Raw genomic sequence first — 19,958 nt, forward strand, 5'->3', positions numbered from 1 at the left:
AGGCTAAACTCTCTCACATATAGCTGCCCCTTTCCATGGCCACCGTCGGCCGTCCTAGTGGGACTCTCACTGCCCATTCTGGGGGCTGTCACATGGCTCCCAACTGACTTCCCTACTTCCAGTGTCACTCCAGTCCAGTCCGACACATTGTCTCCAGGTTAATCTTCTCCCAGATTACAAGGGCCCCTGAAGGCAAAGGCTGCATTTCCCTGTCCGTTTGGGGGGACTCCTGAGGGCAGGGGCATATCTCTTTCTCCTTCAGATTAGGGAGCCCTGAGGACAGTCGCCTAACTCCTTCACTTTGGGGCTTCCAAGGGCAGGACTGTGACTACCCCTCAGGCCAAAAGGTCCTTAAGGCAGAGTTGTCACCCACTTCAGACCTGGCTCTGAGAGCAAATCTCTGCACCATGCCTCTACATCTTTGGAACCAAACTCAGTGCTGTGCTTGACTCACAACATTCTTCTTCACACCTCCTCGGCCTCTCCGTCATCCCCAGAGCCCAGAGCTCTGGCGGGGACACGGTCCGGCCCGCTGCCAGGACTCCCTAATGCCCCCAGGACGCGCTCAGGGAGCGACGTCTATCACGATCTAACCCAGCCCTGGAGGCCGTGTCGCCTCCTTCCGCCTCCACGCGTAGTCATGGTAAGCAGGGTCTTGAACCTCTCCTGTGGGAGCCGCGGAGCTCGCAGGCCCTCGGGGCTCGGGCTCCAGCCTGCGTGGGGACTCCAGGGGCAGAAAGGTCTTAAGCCAGACTCACCACGCAGGGCCGCTAGCCGTCCCGCAGCGCCGCCATCTTGTTGTCACGCGGTTTCCTAGGCGACCAGGACCCGTGCACTTCTCATTGGCTAGTTTGAGGGAGGCCTGAGCAACCTGCAGACAGCGAAGGTGGATACAGTCGCCTGTGCTCGGATTCTATTGGCCCACAGAGTCGGTATTCTTCGCGGGCGAATCCCAGAATGCACCGCTCTGAGAGGGCTCCAGGTCCGGGGCGGGGTGGGGGGGGGGGGTGGTTCGTTCCTACCCTCAGGTGCGGGAGGAAGGAGCCTGGGATTAGGTTAATGAAACTGCTGGCAGCCTCACATTCAGGACCTGAATGTGTGATCCCGACAGTGCCGCTATTTTGCTAAATTGATCTTGGGAGGAATTATCCCTCTTAGCTTATTTCCCCATATGATCAGTATTGTAACACGAAGTACTGTAATACTTCACGGAGGCTGCTTTGAGGATGGATTGCAATGATGCAAGTACTTAATAAATGTTTCCTAAATCTGAGTTTCTGTGACAAATCCTTGACCAGATTGGCGCCCGGAAGGGCGGCCCAAATTCTAGTTCCCTTGTGTTAAGAGTTGGGTAAGACAATTTCCCCTCCCAGAGCCTCATCTGTAAAATTGTGTTGGATTAGACTCAGTCACCAAAACAGCTAAAGGCAGTTAAGACCACGAACTTTGGAATTAGGAGTCCTGGCTCCTTACTGTGTGTTCTTGGGCACTTTATACACCTTAGTTTTTATATCTGTAAAACAGTGATAATACCTACCCCCACTGGGTTGCCGTGAGGATTAAATAAGGTAATGCAAAGTACACGATTTTAAAGGGGAAAGCCGAAACAGAAACACCTGTAGAGAGCACTTTTTCAAAAACGTTTCCTGCTGTTAATCATCATCATCATCTCTTCACCCTTTCAGCTGTGATGGTCTGGGAGTTTATGATTTCTGATCTCAGGCACTCACTTCTTTGTGCCCAGGTTCAAAAGCCCTTTCTCTGCACAACCCAAGAGTGTTTTTCTGTTGCTTTTTTTTTTTTTTTTTTTTAATTTTCCGTTTGACTTTCTAGCCTACCACATTCAGGGAAGGGTAGGCTCTGCTCACTGCAACATCCGCCTCCCAGGCTCAAGCTATCCTCCCATCACAGCCACCAGTGTAGCTGGGACTACAGGTGTGCACAACAACGCCCAGCTAGTTTTTGTATTTTCTTGTAGAGACGGGGTCTTGCCATGTTGCCCAGCCTGGTCTCAAACTCCTGAGCTCAAGCCATCCGCCCATCTCTGCCTCCCAAAGTGGACAGCATTCTTTATATGCAAATTGGAAGCTAAAGAGAGCTACTACTACTGAGTGCCAAGTACCAGATGGTAACATGAAATTTACAGATGAGGGCCGGGCGTGGTGGTTCACGCCTGTAATCCCAGCATTTTGGGAGGCTGAGGCAGGCGGATCATCTGAAGTCGGGAGTTCGAGACCAGCCTGACCAACATGGAGAAACCCCGTCTCTACTAAAAATACAAAATCAGCCGGGCATGATGGCGCATGCCTGTAATCCCAGCTACTCAGGAAGGCTGAGGCAGGAGAATCGCTTGAACCTGGGAGGCGGAGGTTGCGGTGAGCTGAGATCGCACCATTGCACTCCAGCCTGGGCAACAAGAGTGAAACTCTGTCAAAAAAAAAAAAAAGAAAAGAAAAGAAAAAAGAAAAAAACAGATGAGAAAACAAGCTCAGGGTAGTACAGCGGCTTGCATAAGATTATAAAGGCAGGAAGCAGAAGTGGATTCAAACCCAGAACGGTCAGCCTCAAGAGTCCACGCTCTTCCTAGAAACTTTCACTCTGGTAAACAAGGCAGGCATAGATAAGCCAAGGAAGAAGGTGGTACAGACCTACTGCCAAGGGAGGAGTCTGGGCGGAAAGTGTGACTGGAGAGTGGACATAGGAAGAGCTCTCTTGTTGCTGAGCTGCTCCCAGAAAGTTTTCTGAGGTTTTAGGTATATGAAGATGAGAAAGACTGAGATCATGTCGGGGCCAAGTGTTTTTTGAGGTTGGACCCATGGTCAGGGTGAGTAGCAACTTCATACTGTCACCTTGCTCATGGAGATAAGCAAGCGTGGGAAGCAGGAGCTCTGGTCTCATGAGCCCTGCTGTGGTCTGCCCTCTGATTCCTGCCTCAGCAAGAACCAGATCGTGAGTGGCATTTACCCAGGCACCAGGATTTACCCCATCCCTTCTTCCCACCCAGGGCCTGGCTGTAGATTCCGCAGCAGGCAGACACTCAGTAAACATCTATTTCCTGGGAGGAAAATGGGAGCCCTCTAACCTGGCAGGCCAGTCGTTTGATTTTTTTTTTTTTTTTTTTTTTGAGTCTTGCTCTGTCACCAGGCTGGAGTGCAGTGGCACGATCGTGGCTCGCCACAACCTCCACCTCCCAGATTCAAGCGATTCTCCAGCCTCAGCCTCCCAAGTAGCTGGGACTACAGGCACACGCCACCATGCCCAGCTAATTTTTTTGTATTTTTAGTAGAGACGGGGTTTCACGATGTTGGCCAGTGTGGTCTCCGTCTCCTGACCTTGTGATCCGCCCACCTCAGCCTCCCAAAGTGCTGGGATTACAGGCGTGAGCCACTGCGCCCTGTCCCGAGTCAATTGATTTTTTTTTTTTTTGAGACAGAGTCTCACTCTGTCGCCAGGCTGGAGTGCAGTGGTGTGATCTCAGCTCACTGCAATCTCCAACTCTCTGGTTCGAGCAATTCTCCTGCCTCAGCCTCTGAGTAGCTGGGATTACAGGCAAGTGCCACCACCCCCAGCTAATTTTTGTATTTTTAGTAGAGATGGGGTTTCACCATGCTGGCCAGGATGGTCTCTATCTCCTGACCTCATGATCTACCCGCCTCAGCCTCCCAAAGTGCTGGGATTACAGGTGTGAGCCACCGTGCCCTTCTGGTTTGATTTTTTTTAAAAAAATAACATTTATTGGGAAAGTCAGAGCCTTATTATAAAAATATACAATTTCACTGGAGAAACTTGGAAAATAATAAGAGCCATCATTTGTTGGGGATACATTGTACTGTGGACCAGCATAACTTAACAACTCTATGAGGCTGGGCTCTGTCGTTTAATAGCTGGCTGTTCCTGCTCAAGATACTTCACTTGTCAGAGTCTCAGTGTCTACAAATGTAAAGTAGAGATACTAATAGAATCTACCTCCTAGGATTATTGTACAAATTAAATTTTCCATAATGAGGCACCGGCCCCAGCATGAGTGGGGACAACAGCTGAAAAAAATATATACACTATTTTAAAAATTCCTATAATGTTGTTGCATTATTGCTCCTGAAAAGGTGTTCTTCTTTTCTTTCTTTGCTCATTTATTTATTTTTAGAGACAGACTCTGTCTATGTTGCCCAGGTTGGATTTGAACTCCTGAGCTCAAGGGATCCTCCAGTCTCGGCCTCTCAGCCTACCAAGTAGCAGAGACTATACCCTCTTGCCACTGTGCCCGGCCCAAAAAGGAGGAGTTTTTGGCTGGGCACAGTGGTTCACACCTGTAATCCCAACATTTTGGGAGGCCGAGGTGGGTGAATCACCTGAGATCAGGAGTTCGAGACCAGCCTGGCCAACATGACGAAACCCTGTCTCTACTAAAAAATACAAAAACTAGGCCAGGAGCAGTGGCTCATGCCTGTAATCCCAGCACTTTGGGAGGCTGAGGTGGGTGGATCACCTAAGGTCAGGAGTTTGAGACCAGCCTGGCCAACATGGTGAAACCCCATCTCTACTAAAAATACAAAAATCAGCCAGGTGTGGTGGCATGCGCCTATAATCCCAGCTACTTTGGAGGCTAAAGCAGGAGAATCACTTGAACCCAGCAGTCGGAGGTTACAGTGAGCCAAGGTCGCATCACTGCACTCCAGCCTGGGCAACAAGAGCAAGACTCCATCTCAAAAAAAAAAAGAAAGAAAGAAAAGAAAGAAATACAAAAATTAGCAGGGCATGGTGGCGGTCGCCTGTAATCCCAGCTACTCGGGAGGCTAAGGCAGGAGAATTGCTTGAACCTGGGAGGCTGAGGTTGCAGTGAGCCAAGATTGCGCCACTGCACTCCAGCCTGGGCGACAGTGCCAGACTCTGTCTTAAAAAAAAAAAAAAAAAAAAAGGTGTTTTTTCAAAAACAAAATTATAAAAGAAACCAAGAGTCTAAGCTCATCTGATTTTTTTTTTTTAACCTATATTTCTCTTCCCACATCTTAGAAGGTCTGGAAATCTCTGAGGTCTCCAGGCTCACAAGACTTGAGTGTTGTGAGGGCCTTGGAGACCCATCCGACCACTTCCAAGCTGGAAGGATTCCCTCTGGACTTCTGAGATGGGGTCGCCCAGCCTCATCTTGATCGCATCCAGTGGTGGATATTCAGTCTGATGATGGTGCAAAGGCCCTGGCCTGGGAGGAGGGAGGTCTTGAACAAGGCTCTTTCTGGACCTGTTTCCCACCTGCAGGGTGAGGAAGTAGACCCCAGCTCTGGGGCTAGATGGTTCTGGAAGTCTCTATTCTTTTTTTTTTTTTTTTTGAGACAGAATCTCACTCTGTTTTCCAGGCTGGAGTGCAGTGACGTGATCTCAGCTCACTGCAAACTCCAGCTCCCAGGTTCAAGCGATTCTCTGCCTCAGCCTCCCGAGTAGCTGCGATTACAGGTGCCCACCACCATGCCCAGCTAATGTTTTTGTATTTTTTAGTAAAGACAGGGTTTCACCATGTTGGCCAGGCTGGTCTTGAACTCCTGACCTCATGATCCACCCGCCTCAGCCTCCCAAAGTGCTGGGATTACAGGCATGAGCCACCATGCCCGGTGGAAGTCTCTATTCTTTTTTTGAGATGGAGTCTCACACTCGTTGCCAAGGTTGGAGTGCAGTGGCGCGATCTTGGCTCACTGCAGACTCTGCCTCCCGGGTTCAAGTGACTCTTCTGCCTCAGCCTCCCGAGTAGCTAAGATTACAGGCACGTGCCACCATGCCCAGCTAATTTTTGTATTTTTAGTAGAGACAGAGTTTCACCATGTTGGTCAGGCTGGTCTGAAACTCCTGACCTCGTGATCCGCCCGCCTCGGCCTCCCAGAGTGTTGGGATTACAGGCATGACCCACCGCACCCAGCCACAAGTCTATTCTTGAGAGTGGACAGAGTCTGCTTTGCTTTTAGGTCATTTCCTGAAAGAGCCTTACAGTTATGACCCCTCTGAGGTTAAAGAGTTTATTGAGTTCTACCAGCTCAGGAAGTAAAAGGTAAATAATAAAGGAGTTCCTCCAAGTCTCTTTAGCAGAATACAAATCTAGCTATCTCTTCCACCTTCTCCCTTCTCCACCCACATCACCACCACCTTAGACGAAGCCCTCATCATCTACAGCTTAGCCTGATATTTAGAGCCCTCCTATTTTGGGTTCCGCCTTTCTCACGTTCCAGAAACCGTCATGTTCTCCCCTACGTTCTGGCCTCTCCTTCCAATGAGAACATCCTCTCTTGCCTTTTCCATTTGGGAAAATTCCCACTCGATCCTTCAACAAGTTCAAATGTCCCCTCCCCCATGAAATCATCTCTGGTTCATCCCCACTCCCCTGCAAGCAGAACCACACTCTAAAATCCACTGTCTAAAAGCCCTGCTGCCATTATAGCATTTCTTTTTTTTTGAGACAAAATCTCTTTCTGTCACCCAGGCTGGAGTGCAATGGCAGGATCTCAGTTCACTGCAATCTCCACCTCTGGGTTCAAGCGATTCTCCTGCCTCAGCGTCCTGAGTAGCTGAGATTACAGGTGCATGCCACCACGCCCAGCTAATTTTTTGTATTTTCAGTAGAGACAGGGTTTCTCCATGTTGGCCAGGCTGGTTTCAAACTCCCGACCTCAGGTGATCTGCCCGCCTCGGCCTCTCAAAGTGCTGGGATTACAGGCATGAACCACCACGCCTGGCCCATTATAGCATTTCTTCTTCAGTTTTGTGATTTTCGTATGGGTCTCCCTGCTGGACTATAAATTCCTCAGGGGAAAGGACCCTCACTCATTCACCTTGCCTGACACACAGTAGGTGTCAATAAATTAATTAAAAGAGTGAATGAGGCTGGACACAGTGGCTCACGACTGTAATCCCAGCACTTTGGGAGGCCGAGGTGGGCAGATCACCTGAGGTTAGGAGTTTGAGACCAGCCTGGCCAACATGGAGAAACCCTGTCTCTACTAAAAATACAAAAAATTAGCTGGGCGTGTTGGCATGCACCTGTAATCCCAGCTACTCAGGATGCTGAGGCAGGAGAATCGCTTGAACCTAGGAGGTGGAGGTTGCAGTGAACTGAGATCCCGCCATTGCACTCCAGACTGGGCAACAAGAGCAAAACTCTGTCTCAAAAAAAAAAAAAAAAAAAAAAAAAGAGTGAATGAGCAAAAGACTGAATGGATAGGTGGGTGCGTGGATAGGTGAATGAATGGGTGGATGAAGATTCACCTTGGATGCTGTATGATGCTACTGAATCCCAGCCCTGTCTCAGTGAGGATGAAAAATTCAAGGCGGATCACACTGTGACGTGTGCTATAACTCTCTTCTCCTTCCTCCCTCCCTGCTGTATTCCATTCTATCATTGACCAAGGACATTTGGAGAACCTGGCCTATGTGAGACTGTGCTAGGCCCCAGGGACAGTCATCAAAAGACACTGTGGAACTGGGATGGAATTGTGATCTAAGGTGCTTTGCATGCCTGGTCTTCTCTTGTTCTGCAGGTCTCAGCACACACATTTCCTCTGAGTGGTCTTTCCTGACCACTGACCTAGAATATATCCTCCCCACATTTCACTTCTTCTTCTTCTCACATTACCCCCTTGATTTCCTGATGCCATTTGTGAACATCTGAAATTACCATTGTTTTTTATTAGTCTTCCCCCACTCAAATATCAGCTCCATAATAGCAGGGACCATGTCTTTATGTCACTGTTGTATTCCCAGTGCCTAGTTCAGTACCTGGTACACAGCAGGCACCCAATAAACACATTCTGCTCTAATAATACTTTCTTACGATCTTTACTTCACTTCACTAATTTTCTCTTCAGTTGTGCCCAATCTGATGTTAAACCTATCCACTGAGTTCCTAATTTTTATTACCATATTTCTCAGTTCTAGAATTTCCATTTGGTTCTTTACTATAATTTTTTTTCTTTTTTTTTTTTTTTTGAGACTTAGTCTTGCTCCATCGCCCAGGCTGGAGTGCAGTGGCACGATCTCGGCTCACCACAAGCTCTGCCTTCCAGGTTCATGCCATTCTCCTACCTCAGCCTCCCGAGTAGCTGGGACTACAGGTGCCCGCCACCATGCCTGGCTAAGTTTTTGTATTTTTAGTAGAGATGGGGTTTCACTTTGTTAGCCAGGATGGTCTCGATCTCCTGACCTTGTGATCGACTCGCCTCGGCCTCTCAAAGTTCTGGGATTACAGGTGTTAGCCACCGCGCCCGGCCGGTTCTTTACTATAATTTCTAGTTCTCAATCTTGTCCTGCTGCTCAGAGGGCAGAAGAGGAAAATGTCTTTAAGTAAGCATAGTTATTTGAAAATTTGATTGATTATTCCATTATCTGGATCTTTTGTATAACTTTCTATTATCTGTTTCTGCTTTTTGGTCATGTTGTCTTCAATTTCTTTGAGGGTTGGGCTGTTGTTTCCTGTTTACTCTCACTCCCCGTGGTCCAACCCAAAGCCTAGGTGGGGGGAGTTTGTCAGGGCTCCCCTTTCTTAGAGAATCTAGAACTATAGTTTTTCTCCCATACATTTGTAAGTATGTGAAGATGAGAAAGCTCAGCTCAGTTTCTCAGCTGTCCCCTCTGCAAGTGGCATACTTTTAGGAGGAAAGCAGCTCCATATAAAGGGCTTGCTTCTCTCAGTCCCTTATTTCTTTTCTGCATTGGTAACTTTTCAGTACTGACTTTACTGTTGCCCCATAGTAAATATTTACTGGATGAATAAATGCAGGACTACTAGGCTCGGAGGTGGGAATAGATCTAGATGAATACACGCACTCATTCTTCCGGCAGTCCCTGACACCTACACTGTGCCATGTTCTGTGCTTCGCTGAGTAAGAGAAGTGACAAAATCTAGTCCCAACCCACAAGGGACAGACCATATTCTTGGTAGACACAATCTTTAGAACAGAGGTCAACAGAAAGGGCCCTTCGAACATTTAGGAACTTTGAGTTTCCTAGGGAAAGTGGAAAGTTTCCCTGGGGAAGGGGCTTCTAAGCTAAATCTTGAAGAATAAAGAAGAGTTTGCAGTCTGGGCAACATAGCAAAACTCCACCCTCCACCACCCCAAAAATTAGCTGGGCATGGTGGCATGCACCTGTAGTCCCAGGTACTTAGGAGGATGAGGCGGGAGGATTGCTTGAGCCCAGGAGTTCGAGGTTACAGTGAGCTATGATTGCACCACTTGTACTCCAGCCTGGGTGACAACGGCAAGAACCTGACTCGAGGGGAAAAAAAAAGAGTTTGCCAGGTAAAATAATTGGAGAAGGGCTTTCCTTGCAGAGGAAATACATGGACTGTAGAAGATACTCCTCAGGGTGTCAGGAGGTGAAAATGAAGCTTCTGAGGTTTGCAAGAAAATGTTTACAAATAAGAGTCTGGCATTTAGTATCCTCGCATGCATCTCCAGCATGGGAAACTATAACACGGCTGGCCCCAGGCTCGTCCTGTCTGGCTGCCTCTTTGTAAGAGGGGAGAAGATTGCACAGTGTGATGGAGCTCATTTTCAGCAGAGTAATCTCAGACTTCAACACGGGTATCCTGTCTTCTGGGCTGGTGCCCTTCTGGCACAGGACACCTCCCTGACTCTCATGAACCCCAGAATCACTCACCCCCACAGGCACACCAAAGACAGCTGAGAACTTGAGTCAAGGGTGAGGAGAGACCTCTGGGTGAAAGGGCAGGGATGGGGAAAGAGGGTGATGGATGGCTGGGGACTCCTCCCTCTTCTCTCCCTCCCCGCCCCTCCCTCTCCACTTCCTGGCTTTCTCTCATCAGCTTTGACTCTCAGTTCTTCTTTTCTTCTCTTCTCTTTTTTTGAAATGGAGTTTTTCTCTTGTCGCTCAGGCTGGAGTGCAATGGCACGATCTCGGCTCACTGCAACCTCCTTCTCCCGGGTTCAAGTGATTCTCCTGCCTCAGCCTCCCGAGTAGCTGGGATTACAGGCATGTGCCAGCACACCTGGCTAATTTCTGTATTTTCAGTAGAGACAGGGTTTCACCATGTTGGCCAGGCTGGTCTAGAACTCCTGACCTCAGGTGATCCACCCACCTCGGCCTCCCAAAATGCTGGGATTACAGGCGTGAGCCACTGTTTCCTGGCCTTTTTTTTTTTTTTTTTGAGACAGGGTCTTGCTCTGTCACCCTGGCTGGAGTGCAGTGCCACAATCATGGCTCATTGCAGCCTGGGCCTCCCAGGTGCAAGCAATCCTCCTGCGTCAGCCCCCAAGTAGCTGAGACTATAGGTTTGTGCCACTATGCCCGGCTAATTTTTTTTTTTTTTTTTTTTTTTTTTGAGAGATGGGGCCTTCCTATGTTGCCCGGGTGGTCTCAAACTCCTGTGCTCAAGTTATCTGCCCGCCTCAGCCTCCCAAACTGCTAGGATTACAGGCGTAGCCCCTATGCCCAGCCTCTGTTTTTTTCTTTGGACTCAGCCTCAGCCAGATCTCCCCTGGGCTTGCAACACAAGGCCCAAAACAATAGAAGAGAAGTGAGGGGAGTTTTCCCTTTACTACCTAGCATGTAAATGAGGCCTAAAGTAGACTAAGGAAGGGAGAGTGTGAAGGGAGAGTGGGCCAGAGCTGGGGTTGTGGTGACCAACTCCTGGGGCCTGGGGGGAGTTTGTGTAGGGGAGGGGGAGGGAGTGGCAGGGAATCAAGACTTAATGGATGAATTCTAGGGCAGCCCCAGAGGTTACATACATGGCTGTGGCTTCAGACAGACCTGGATTCAAGGTCAAATGAGACTGGCTCCACCATTTACGACCTTAGCAAGTCACTTAACATCTAAGCCTCAGTTTTTTCACCAGTCAAATGGGGATAAACATAACACCTGCTGCAGGGCACCACAGAGGGTATCAAGTGAGGGAATGCATAAAGCATGGAGCACTATCCAGGCAGCTGTGGGATTCCTCTCATCCCCCCACCCCTCCCTGGGCCCTCACAGCCACTCTCTCACCCCAGTCCCCTTCCACTGTAGCTTAGTCACCCACTTGTCCCTTCCCTCGCTCCCCTCCCATTCATCCTCAGCTAATACAAACAACCCATCTGCTTGCTACTTTCTCTACCAAAATCACAAAATTCTAGGTCTTGGCTGGGCGCGGTGGCTCATGCCTGTAATCCCAGCACTTTGGGAGGCCGAGGCAGGCGGATCACTTGAGATCAGGCATTCGAGACTAGCCTAGCCAACATGGTGAAACCCAGTCTCCGCTAAAAAAAAAAAAAAAATACAAAAAATTAGCCAGGCATGGTGGCACACACCTGTAGTCCCAGCTATGCGGGAGGCCAAGGCAGGATAATTGCTTGAACCCAGGAGGTGGAGGTTGCAGTAAGCCGAGATCATGCCAGTGCACAGAGCAAAACTCTGTTTAAAAAAAAAAACAAAAAAACCAACAACAACAAAACAAAACACTAGGTTTTAACAAACTTCAGAAATAATCTATTTCAGTCTTCCCAGTTCCTTGAAATGAGGAACTGAGGCCTAGAGAGGGAAAGCCCAACTGAAACCAGGCTTCCCGATTCCTCACCTCCAGCACCTTCACAGAAATCCACCAACCCTTCCACAATCTAAACATTTCCCAAGCTTTCATTCAGAACCTGCAGCCCATCTACAACCTTCCCTTGAAACATAAATCTATCCCAGCCCTTCTCCTTCAGCTCCTATACCCTGCCCCAATCTTCTTTAAACAACAAACTCATTTACGGAATATCTGCTATGTTCTGGCTCTTTTTAAATTGGTTATTATTACATGTAATCCGGCAGTTCTTTTGTTAAAGGGTCAGAGAGGTAGAGTTTCTGGCCCAGGGTCTCAGAGCTGGTCAGTGATTAAACCAGGATTCAGCCTGCAGGATGCATGATTCCAGGCCTTGGGCCCTACTTACTCCCACCGTTGCCTCTGGATTGACCTCTCTCCTATCTTGTACGATCTAGCCTGCTCCCCCAGCCAGGGCCTTAGAACCTAGAGCCTGGTATTATCCACCCCCAGATCTGCAGAAAGGAAGCCACACCCCTCCTCCACCTTGTAAGCCCTCCTTCCTCTCCCTACCTCACCCCGCCTCCTCTGCCTCCTGGTTCAAAAGCAGCTAAACCAAAAGAAGCCTCCAGACAGCCCTGAGATCACCTAAAAAGCTGCTACCAAGACAGCCACGAAGATCCTACCAAAATGAAGCGCTTCCTCTTCCTCCTACTCACCATCAGCCTCCTGGTTATGGTACAGGTAAGAGCAACGCCTGGCACCACTGCCAGGACTCCCCAAAGTTGCTTGGCATGGAGGGAGGGCATACAGGATGTGAGCTCCCAGAGACCCAGCCTTCTCTCCTGAGAGCACAGCAGATGGACTCCAACAGGAAAACTGGGGACACAGCGGGCCTGGCCGCCCAGCCTTCCAGCTCTTCTGGCTGGGGCTGCACTGCTTGCGGGCTGCCCTGAGAGAAACCTGTATCCACAGCTGGGGAGCACTTACAGGGTGCTAGGCGCGTTGGGGCACCCAAGGGGTGTTGTGGAATAATAGAGAACTAAGAGACTTGGGAAGACAACCCTGAGTGAGGAAGGCATCGGCCCACAGGGAGTCTGGGGAGATGGTCCTTTGGGGAGAGGCCAGGAGATGTCCAAGTGGAGCCTGCTGTGGTTATGGAGGTGACAGGGGACACTCTAACCCCCACTCCCCTGCCAGAGAGAAGCCTGGATGTTCAGGAATGCAAAGAAGACAGGACTCTCCCATTTCAGAAACAACTGGAGTCTCAAAAGCGACTGCTATTCCAGGAGGCAGCTTTGGTAGCATCCCAGGTGCCCAGAGGGGAGTCAGTACAGCAGACCGGAGCCATCAAGTTCTTGATCAAGAACAGCTTGATCACCATCAAAACCAGCTTAATCTCCATCAAGAACAGTTCTAGTTGCAGCTCCATCAAGCATTAAGGACAGCTCGATCACCATCTGGCCACTTCCCCACCCCACATCCAGCCACCCACGCTTTGCCAAGTGCTTTCTCACTCAGCCCTGGCTCATGTGACCTTCACAACTGTGATGAACTTCTCCCCACTCAGAAGATGAAACTGAGGCTCAGGGAAGCTAAGCCCTTTGCCAGGCTAGGAAGGTCAAGGGCCAGGGCTCCCCTGTCTCCCTCTATGCCAGAAGGGCTGGTCGCTGGGGAAAGGTGAAAAGAAAGGTTCTGTGACCGGGCACGGTGGCTCACGCCTATAATCCCAGCACTTTGGGAGGCCGAGGCAGGCGGATCACCTGAGGTCAGGAGTTCAAGACCAGCCTGGCCAACATGACAAAATCCCGTCTCTACTAAAAATACAAAAATTAGCTGGGCGAGCCGGGCGCGCTGGCTCGCGTCTGTAATCCCAGCACTTTGGGAGGCTGAGGCGGGTGGATCATGAGGTCAGGAGATCGAGACCATCCTGGCTAACACATTGAAACCTCGTCTCTACCATAAATACAAAAAGAAATTAGCCGGGCGTGGCGTGGTGGCGGGCGCCTGTAGTCCCAGCTACTCGGGAGGCTGAGGCAGGAGAATGGCGTGAACCTGGGGGTGAAGCTTGCAGTGAGCCGAGATCACGCCACTGCACTCCAGCCTGGGCGGGCGACAGAGCAAGACTCTGTCTCGGAAAAAAAAAAAAAATTAGCTGGGCGTGATAGCGGCTGCCTATAATCCCAGCTACTCGGGAGGTTGAGGGGTGGAGGTTGCAGTGACCCGAGATCATGCCACTTCACTCCAGCCTGGGCAAAAGAGCGAAACTCTATCTCAAAAAAACAGAAAGTTTCTGTGAAAGGGGGTGGACAGGGGCAGTGATCACCTCTGTCCCTGCCTGTGTCAAAGCAGGAAGCAGTCAAACATCCTGACAGGACCTTGTGGAAGAAGTAGTGGTCACATGGGGCAGAACTGAGGACTGTTTTATGGAGGTGGGCGGATGGAGGGCGGGGAGGGTAGAAAGGGGACTGCATCTTTAAATAACAAACACGCTATTCAAAAGTCCCCTGAGGGCTGGGTACGATGGCTCACACCTGTAATCCCAGTACTTTGGGAGGCCGAGGCGGGTGGATCACCAGGTCAGGAGTTCGAGACCAGCCTGACCAACATGGTGAAACCCCGTCTCTACTAAAAATAGAAAAATTAGCCGGGCGTGGTGGCACGTGCCTATAGTCCCAGCTACTCAGGAGGCTGAGGCAGGAGAATCACTTGAACCCGGGAGGTGGAGGATGCAGTGAGCCGAGATCGCATCACTGCAGTCCAGCCTGGGTGACAGAGTGAGACTCCACCTCTAAAAAAAAAAAAAAAAGTCCCCTGATCTTATCCCACTTCTCCTCCTACAGATACAAACTGGACTCTCAGGACAAAACGACACCAGCCAAACCAGCAGCCCCTCAGCATCCAGCAACATAAGCGGAGGCATTTTCCTTTTCTTCGTGGCCAATGCCATAATCCACCTCTTCTGCTTCAGTTGAGGTGACACGTCTCAGCCTTAGCCCTGTGCCCCCTGAAACAGCTGCCACCATCACTCGCAAGAGAATCCCCTCCATCTTTGGGAGGGGTTGATGCCAGACATCACCAGGTTGTAGAAGTTGACAGGCAGTGCCATGGGGGCAACAGCCAAAATAGGGGGGTAATGATGTAGGGGCCAAGCAGTGCCCAGCTGGGGGTCAATAAAGTTACCCTTGTACTTGCAGTGGGGTCCTGCTTGTGGTTACTGGACATCCCTACGCCCCAAGAGCCAGCTGTGCAGCAGCACCAGGGAGTTTCCCATGTCCCCATCAGCAGGGAAATTGGCACCAGGGAGCAGCCCCCAGCTTCCCCACCTAAATTCCAATGCTGAGGGCCCTTCCCCTTAGAAGCACATTGCAGGGACAAGGCCCAGAACCTGGCAGCCTCACCAACCCTGCAGTTGCGTTTGCTTCATCCATCCCTGGGTGTTTGGGAATGATGGTACTAGAGATGCCACCACCCTGGACATCCCAGGCTCAGAGAGCCCCTACCCCACTACCTGGGTGTCTTCAGAATGACAGATCCAGGGAAATCCCCAGTCCCAGGGACACCCCTCAACAAGGTATTTAGATCCCCAGCAAACCAGCCCCACAGGCATCTGGGGCTGGAGAAGGATGATGGGTGGCTGTCTACCTCCCACGCTGGCCCAGGGGCTGGGAAGGCAGGAAGGGCAAGCAGCTGCTCTGACCACTCCCACCCTCCTGGGCTTGAGGCATCGGAGGTGGGTGCTGCAGAGATGGAAGGGAGCCCCAGGGCACCCCCCAAGGGCCCCTCCCACCTTGGCTTCTTCCTTGAGGACCTCCAGGGACAGAGGGAGCTCCCTCTCTTCTATGTCCTGCCCTCTCTGAGCTGGGTTAGAGACCTGGATGCCCTGTCCTGGCTTCTCTAAGACCAGAGTTGGGGTGAGTGCAGCAGAGCCCTGGGGGCACAGCCCTTCAGGGTGTGGCTCACACTCATCTCCCATGCCTGGCCCACTGCACCCCCATCACACTAACCTCCACGTTTTCACCCTGGACTTGTATGCATCCCTAGAATATTCTTTCTCTGCCTCCTGGAGCCTGGCTAACTCCCCACCCTAATATCTCAGCTGCAGGTCCCTGACGTGTGCAGAGAGACATGTCAGCCTGCCCTGCACTTGTGGGGGTGATGTTCCTGCTGTGTGAGTCCCTCTACTTCTTTCCTCCCTTCTCATGGATGCATCACCCTACCTGTCAGGATCCTCTGTGGGACTGTGCGTTCCCTAAGGACAGGGACCGAAAGGCTCAGTTTGTGTCTGTGCCCGCACAGCCTAGGGCCCCACCCGGCTCAGAGCCTGCTCTCACAACACTTCATTTGGGTGGCTGCGCGAGACTACACTCCCCAGTTAGTCTGGTCCCAGGGCGCCCTCTGATGGCAGAAGGAGGCCTAACATCTGAACCCGAAAGCTGGGGCCTGGAGGGAAGAAGCCAGCCTGAGCGTCAGGGAAGAAGGCAAGTGAACAAATCCCCACCCCACCCCGAAATATCAAGGTGCACAGAGACAAGGGTACCTGGCAGCATATTAGAAAATAGCTTATGTTACAACAAAAACCCTATAAAAACATTCATCCCAGCAAAAGCCTCCAGGGCTGGAGGGTGAGGGGAAAAGTTTCAAAGCACGTGGATAGTCCAGATCTGGGATGCCCTGTCCTCATCCGGCTCCCATAGCACCACGTGGTCCCGGTCGTAGCCCCGGCCTCCTGGGGGTGGGATGGGGATTAAAAGATAGGGAGATAGTCAGAGAGAGCTGGGACTCCATGGCTCTCAGCCCCCTCAGGAGCCCTCTTCCCCATACATCCCACCTTACCCTTCACGTCCAGGATCTGGCCTTCGAACATCTGGCTGCAGATGTGGCCCGATTCACTGATGCTCCACGTCTGGCGCGGCAGGCGGCTCTCGGCCCACAGCACCACCTTGGAGCCTGGGCTAGGGGGTCCAATCACCTGTAGGCTCATGGTGGGGGCCATCTGAGGCCCCAGGAGGTCATCAGGCATTGTTCCTCCCCACAGGGACTCTACTGTACCCAAGAAACCCTTGACCCATCTGCTCTGAATCCTGGCTCTTAGGGACTGTGGCCCTGGGCAAGTCTCTTAATCCTCCTCAGCTTCAGTTTCCTCTCGGGGATGGGAATCCCCAAATGCTGGCTTTTGTGAGGGTTCAGTGTGAGAAAACATAAAAGGGCTGGAAAAATATTAACTCCTCCAGGAATCCTTCCATGATTGGCTTCCAAAGCATAGGCTTTAGCATCAGACAAATCTCTACACATTTACTAGCTGTGTGACTTTCAGCAAATTACCTAACCTCTCTATGCTCTGGTTTCCTCACCTGTAAAATGGGGAGTATAAAAAGACCTGCCCCACGGTACTCTAGACTAAAGATTATAGGAGGCATTTGTGTGAAGAACTCAATGCAGAGCCTGGCATGTGGTCAGCCATCTCTCTCATTCTAAGTAAAAGACAAAACCTCTCAATGGCCTACAAAGACCTACAGTCCTTATAACCTTTCTGGCCTCATCTCCTGCTACCTCCCCCTTACTCAACTCACTCTAGCCACCCAGCTAGCCTTGCTAGCCCAGAAAAATCCCAGGCATGTTCCTTCCTCAGGGCCTTTGCACTGGCTGTTCCCTCTGCCTGGAACACTCTTCCCTCAGATATCTGCATGGCTGCCTCCCTCAAATGTCATCTTCTTCGGAAAGGCTCCCCTACCATACCTGATACTTTCTATTCTCCTTTTTTTTTTTTTGAGACAGAGTCTCCCTCTGTTGCCCAGGCTGGTGTGCAGTGGTGTGATCATAGCTTACCGCAGCCTCAATCTCCTGGGCTCACGTAATCCTCCCACCTCGGCCTCCTGAGTAGCTGGGACTACAGGTGCATGCCACCACATCCGGCTAGTTTTTTTATTTTTTGTGGAGATGGCATCTCATTATGCTGCCCAGGCTGGTCTTGAATTCCTGAGCTCAAGAGATCCTCCTGCCTCACTCAGCCTCTCAAAGTGCTGTGATTACAGGAGTGAGCCACTGCACCTGGCCTATTCCCCTTTCATGATTTATCTTCCTCTATTGAACTTTCATCCTGTAAGACACTAAGATATTCTGCCCATTTAAGTTATTTCTGTCTATCTCTCCCCACTAGGATGTAAGCTTCAGGACGGCAGGTGTCAATTCTGTCTATAACTGCTGTATCCCCAGCATCTAGAACAGAGCCTGGCACATAGTAGGTGCTCAAGAAATGTCTGTGGAGTAAATCTACCTTTTCTCTTATTTTTATTTTTGTTTTTTTTTGAGACCAGGTCTTGTGCTGTCACCAAGGCTGGAGTGCAGTGGCGCAATCCTCACTCACTGCAGCCTCTAACTCCTGGGCTCAAGCCTCCCACCTCAGCCTCTTGAGTACCTGAGACTACAGGCATGCACCACCACACCCAGTTAATTTTTTGTTTGGCCTCAAACTCCTGTCCTCAAGCAATCCTCCTGCCTCGGCCTTCCAAAGTGTTGGGATTATAGGCATGAGCCACCATGCCTGGCCAAATCTACCATTATTAATAGGGTTCAAGTTCTGTCATGGGCATTAGAGCTGGGAGGTCCCTTAGAAGCACCCAGTTCATTGCTCTTGTTTTTACAGACTGGGGCCCAGAGAAGAGCACGACTTGCCCAGGGGGAACAGTCTGCACTCTCCCTCTCCCCAGGGTCCTGGCTTCTGTGTGCATCCCTCTGTGTTCCTGATTGGGCTGGGACTCCCCAGAGTGGACCTGCAAATGCCTAGGGCCAGGGTGTCCCTGTGCCAGCCCCTGTATCAGTACCTGGTTCTTCAGCAGCCCATCCTCGTAGTACCAGATGCAGCTACCTCCAGCTTGGGGGTCGGCGACCACCACACGGCCTGCTTTCATGTCCTCCACATGGTCCGGCACTGCCAGGAATCCCCCCAGTGCTGCATTCCAGAGGCGGAAATAAACCCGGCGCTGGTGGCAGAAAGAGGCTGAGAGTCAGGGGTGCCGGGGAGGGATGACCTGGGCCCCCAGTACCCTCAACTCTGGACTCTCCAGTATCAGGCTCCCAAGCCCTCCCTCCTGTCCCCAAACCTTCCTTGACTCTATTTCTAAGTCACTGCTTCTTTACACACACATACGGAGAGCACATGTATCTCTCTCTCTCTCACACACACACACACACACACACACACACACAGTTCCATGGTCATAGAGGTACCCACAGATGTGTGCAGAGGGACAAACTGACAGATACACCTCTGGTACACATGATGGCACAGAAGTTCACAGAAGACACAAACACATGGATACATGCAGCCATCCAACTCACATGTTCTAACCATAGATCCATGCAGTCTACTCCATACCAGGCAGTTCTGCTTGCTAAAAGCGTGGATGTGTGTGGGCATACAGATGTGCACACACACTTACAGAAAGAAATGCACACACACCTGTGTTGAAGAGGGTTCCTGACGGGATGGACACTGGACTGTCAGACATCAGACATGGCTCTGCCATAAATCAGCTGGAGCTCTTAGATGGTAGCAAAAGTAATAATAGTAATAACAATAATCACAGCTAACGTTTGTTGAGAGCTGACTCACTCAAGCACTGTTCTAATAATGTTTTACCTACATTATCTTCAGTCCTCAAAACTGACCCATGACACGTGTTATCCTCATTTTAAAGATGAGGAAACGAAGGTCTAAGGAGGTACAGTACTTGCCCAAGATTGCAGAGCAAATCCGTGTCCACTTCTCTGGGCCTTTATTTCCCCATCTGTAAAATGTGAGGGGTGGAGATAATCTCCAAGATTTCTCCCAGCAATGATGTTATGAGTCTTGAATACAAGAACTACACAAATATCCTTATACAAAGATACACACACTGTCAATGGTGTCACAAGTACAAGCATGCGCAGTCATAAATGCAATCCCGGCCGGGCGCGGAGGCTCACGCCTGTAATCCCAGCACTTTGGGAGGCCAAGGCGGGTGGATCACCTGAGGTCAGGAGTTCGAGGTCAGCCTGGCCAACATGGCAAAACCCTGTCTGTACCAAAAATACAAAAAAATTAGCCAGGTGTGGTGGCACACGCCTGTAATCACAGCTACTCGGGAGGCTGAGGCAGGAGAATCGCTTGAACCCGGGAGATGTAGGTTGCAGTGAGCCGAGATCACACCACTGCACTCCAGCCTGGGTGACAGAGTAGGACTCCATCTCAAAAATAAATTAATTAATAAAAATTAAAAAAATGAATGCACTCCCACAGATACACACACACACACACACACACACACACAGGTCATCACCAGAGCACACAGATGCATGGACACAAATAACCTGATGAGCACAGAAATACCCTCAGATGGGAACATGCATGCACACACACATACACACAGAGCCCATGGCCTTACCATTTATCTGCACATGTGCATTAATGATACTGATGTTC

General features: G+C 50.4%; 3 protein-coding genes across 11 annotated transcripts in view, besides 9 other annotated features; 1 reads left to right on the forward strand and 2 right to left on the reverse strand.

Annotated features, from left to right (window-relative positions):
- UBXN11 (UBX domain protein 11) overlaps nt 1–12,522 on the reverse strand; it is a 36,074-nt gene extending 23,552 nt beyond the window's left edge. For 4 of the 5 annotated variants that reach the window (NM_001389559.1, NM_001077262.2, NM_001389556.1 and 1 more), the window contains exon 1: nt 759–803. The gene's annotated coding sequence lies outside the window, so the exon portion shown is untranslated. Of the gene's footprint in view, nt 1–758; nt 872–12,213 lie in introns of those variants that run through there. The other variant, NM_145345.3, reaches the window with a different exon arrangement.
- Nucleotides 594–643: an enhancer, noted in NCBI's record as "active region_492". NCBI's record gives its function as "activates an Ori minimal core promoter by ATAC-STARR-seq in GM12878 lymphoblastoid cells {active_cell/tissue: GM12878}" and the evidence as "EXISTENCE:reporter gene assay evidence [ECO:0000049][PMID:35858748]".
- Nucleotides 1,044–1,133: an enhancer, noted in NCBI's record as "active region_493". NCBI's record gives its function as "activates an Ori minimal core promoter by ATAC-STARR-seq in GM12878 lymphoblastoid cells {active_cell/tissue: GM12878}" and the evidence as "EXISTENCE:reporter gene assay evidence [ECO:0000049][PMID:35858748]".
- Nucleotides 11,915–12,107: a silencer, noted in NCBI's record as "fragment chr1:26644239-26644431 (GRCh37/hg19 assembly coordinates)". NCBI's record gives its function as "represses an EF-1alpha promoter that drives an FKBP-Casp9 reporter gene in an ReSE screen in HepG2 liver carcinoma cells {active_cell/tissue: HepG2}" and the evidence as "EXISTENCE:reporter gene assay evidence [ECO:0000049][PMID:32094911]".
- On the forward strand, nt 12,125–14,690 carry CD52 (CD52 molecule). The gene is made up of 2 exons (NM_001803.3): nt 12,125–12,238; nt 14,338–14,690. The coding sequence occupies exons 1-2, from the start codon at nt 12,185–12,187 to the stop codon at nt 14,467–14,469; spliced, it is 186 nt and encodes a 61-aa protein (NP_001794.2). The 5' UTR covers nt 12,125–12,184; the 3' UTR covers nt 14,470–14,690.
- Nucleotides 12,182–12,251: an enhancer, noted in NCBI's record as "active region_494". NCBI's record gives its function as "activates an Ori minimal core promoter by ATAC-STARR-seq in GM12878 lymphoblastoid cells {active_cell/tissue: GM12878}" and the evidence as "EXISTENCE:reporter gene assay evidence [ECO:0000049][PMID:35858748]".
- Nucleotides 12,382–12,531: an enhancer, noted in NCBI's record as "active region_495". NCBI's record gives its function as "activates an Ori minimal core promoter by ATAC-STARR-seq in GM12878 lymphoblastoid cells {active_cell/tissue: GM12878}" and the evidence as "EXISTENCE:reporter gene assay evidence [ECO:0000049][PMID:35858748]".
- Nucleotides 12,905–13,890: an enhancer, noted in NCBI's record as "H3K4me1 hESC enhancer chr1:26645229-26646214 (GRCh37/hg19 assembly coordinates)". NCBI's record gives its function as "activates a minimal SCP1, AML or CMV promoter by ChIP-STARR-seq in naive H9 embryonic stem cells {active_cell/tissue: H9 hESC(naive)}" and the evidence as "EXISTENCE:reporter gene assay evidence [ECO:0000049][PMID:30033119]".
- Nucleotides 13,032–13,131: an enhancer, noted in NCBI's record as "active region_496". NCBI's record gives its function as "activates an Ori minimal core promoter by ATAC-STARR-seq in GM12878 lymphoblastoid cells {active_cell/tissue: GM12878}" and the evidence as "EXISTENCE:reporter gene assay evidence [ECO:0000049][PMID:35858748]".
- Nucleotides 15,724–15,773: an enhancer, noted in NCBI's record as "active region_497". NCBI's record gives its function as "activates an Ori minimal core promoter by ATAC-STARR-seq in GM12878 lymphoblastoid cells {active_cell/tissue: GM12878}" and the evidence as "EXISTENCE:reporter gene assay evidence [ECO:0000049][PMID:35858748]".
- Nucleotides 15,911–16,412: an enhancer, noted in NCBI's record as "H3K4me1 hESC enhancer chr1:26648235-26648736 (GRCh37/hg19 assembly coordinates)". NCBI's record gives its function as "activates a minimal SCP1, AML or CMV promoter by ChIP-STARR-seq in naive H9 embryonic stem cells {active_cell/tissue: H9 hESC(naive)}" and the evidence as "EXISTENCE:reporter gene assay evidence [ECO:0000049][PMID:30033119]".
- The window catches only part of CRYBG2 (crystallin beta-gamma domain containing 2), a 32,266-nt gene continuing 28,339 nt past the window's right edge, over nt 16,032–19,958 (reverse strand). For 4 of the 5 annotated variants that reach the window (XM_011541672.2, XM_005245918.3, NM_001039775.4 and 1 more), the window contains 3 exons: nt 18,319–18,477; nt 16,331–16,490; nt 16,032–16,223 (listed from right to left, as the gene is read on the reverse strand). In XM_011541672.2, the coding sequence (XP_011539974.1) occupies nt 16,135–16,223; nt 16,331–16,490; nt 18,319–18,477 (408 nt within the window). In that variant the 3' untranslated portion in view covers nt 16,032–16,134. Of the gene's footprint in view, nt 16,224–16,330; nt 16,491–18,318; nt 18,478–18,956; nt 19,285–19,958 lie in introns of those variants that run through there. The other variant, XM_047423686.1, reaches the window with a different exon arrangement.

This window comes from Homo sapiens, chromosome 1 (assembly GCF_000001405.40).
Source record: "Homo sapiens chromosome 1, GRCh38.p14 Primary Assembly".
In the NCBI taxonomy this organism is placed as follows: Eukaryota; Metazoa; Chordata; class Mammalia; order Primates; family Hominidae; genus Homo; species Homo sapiens.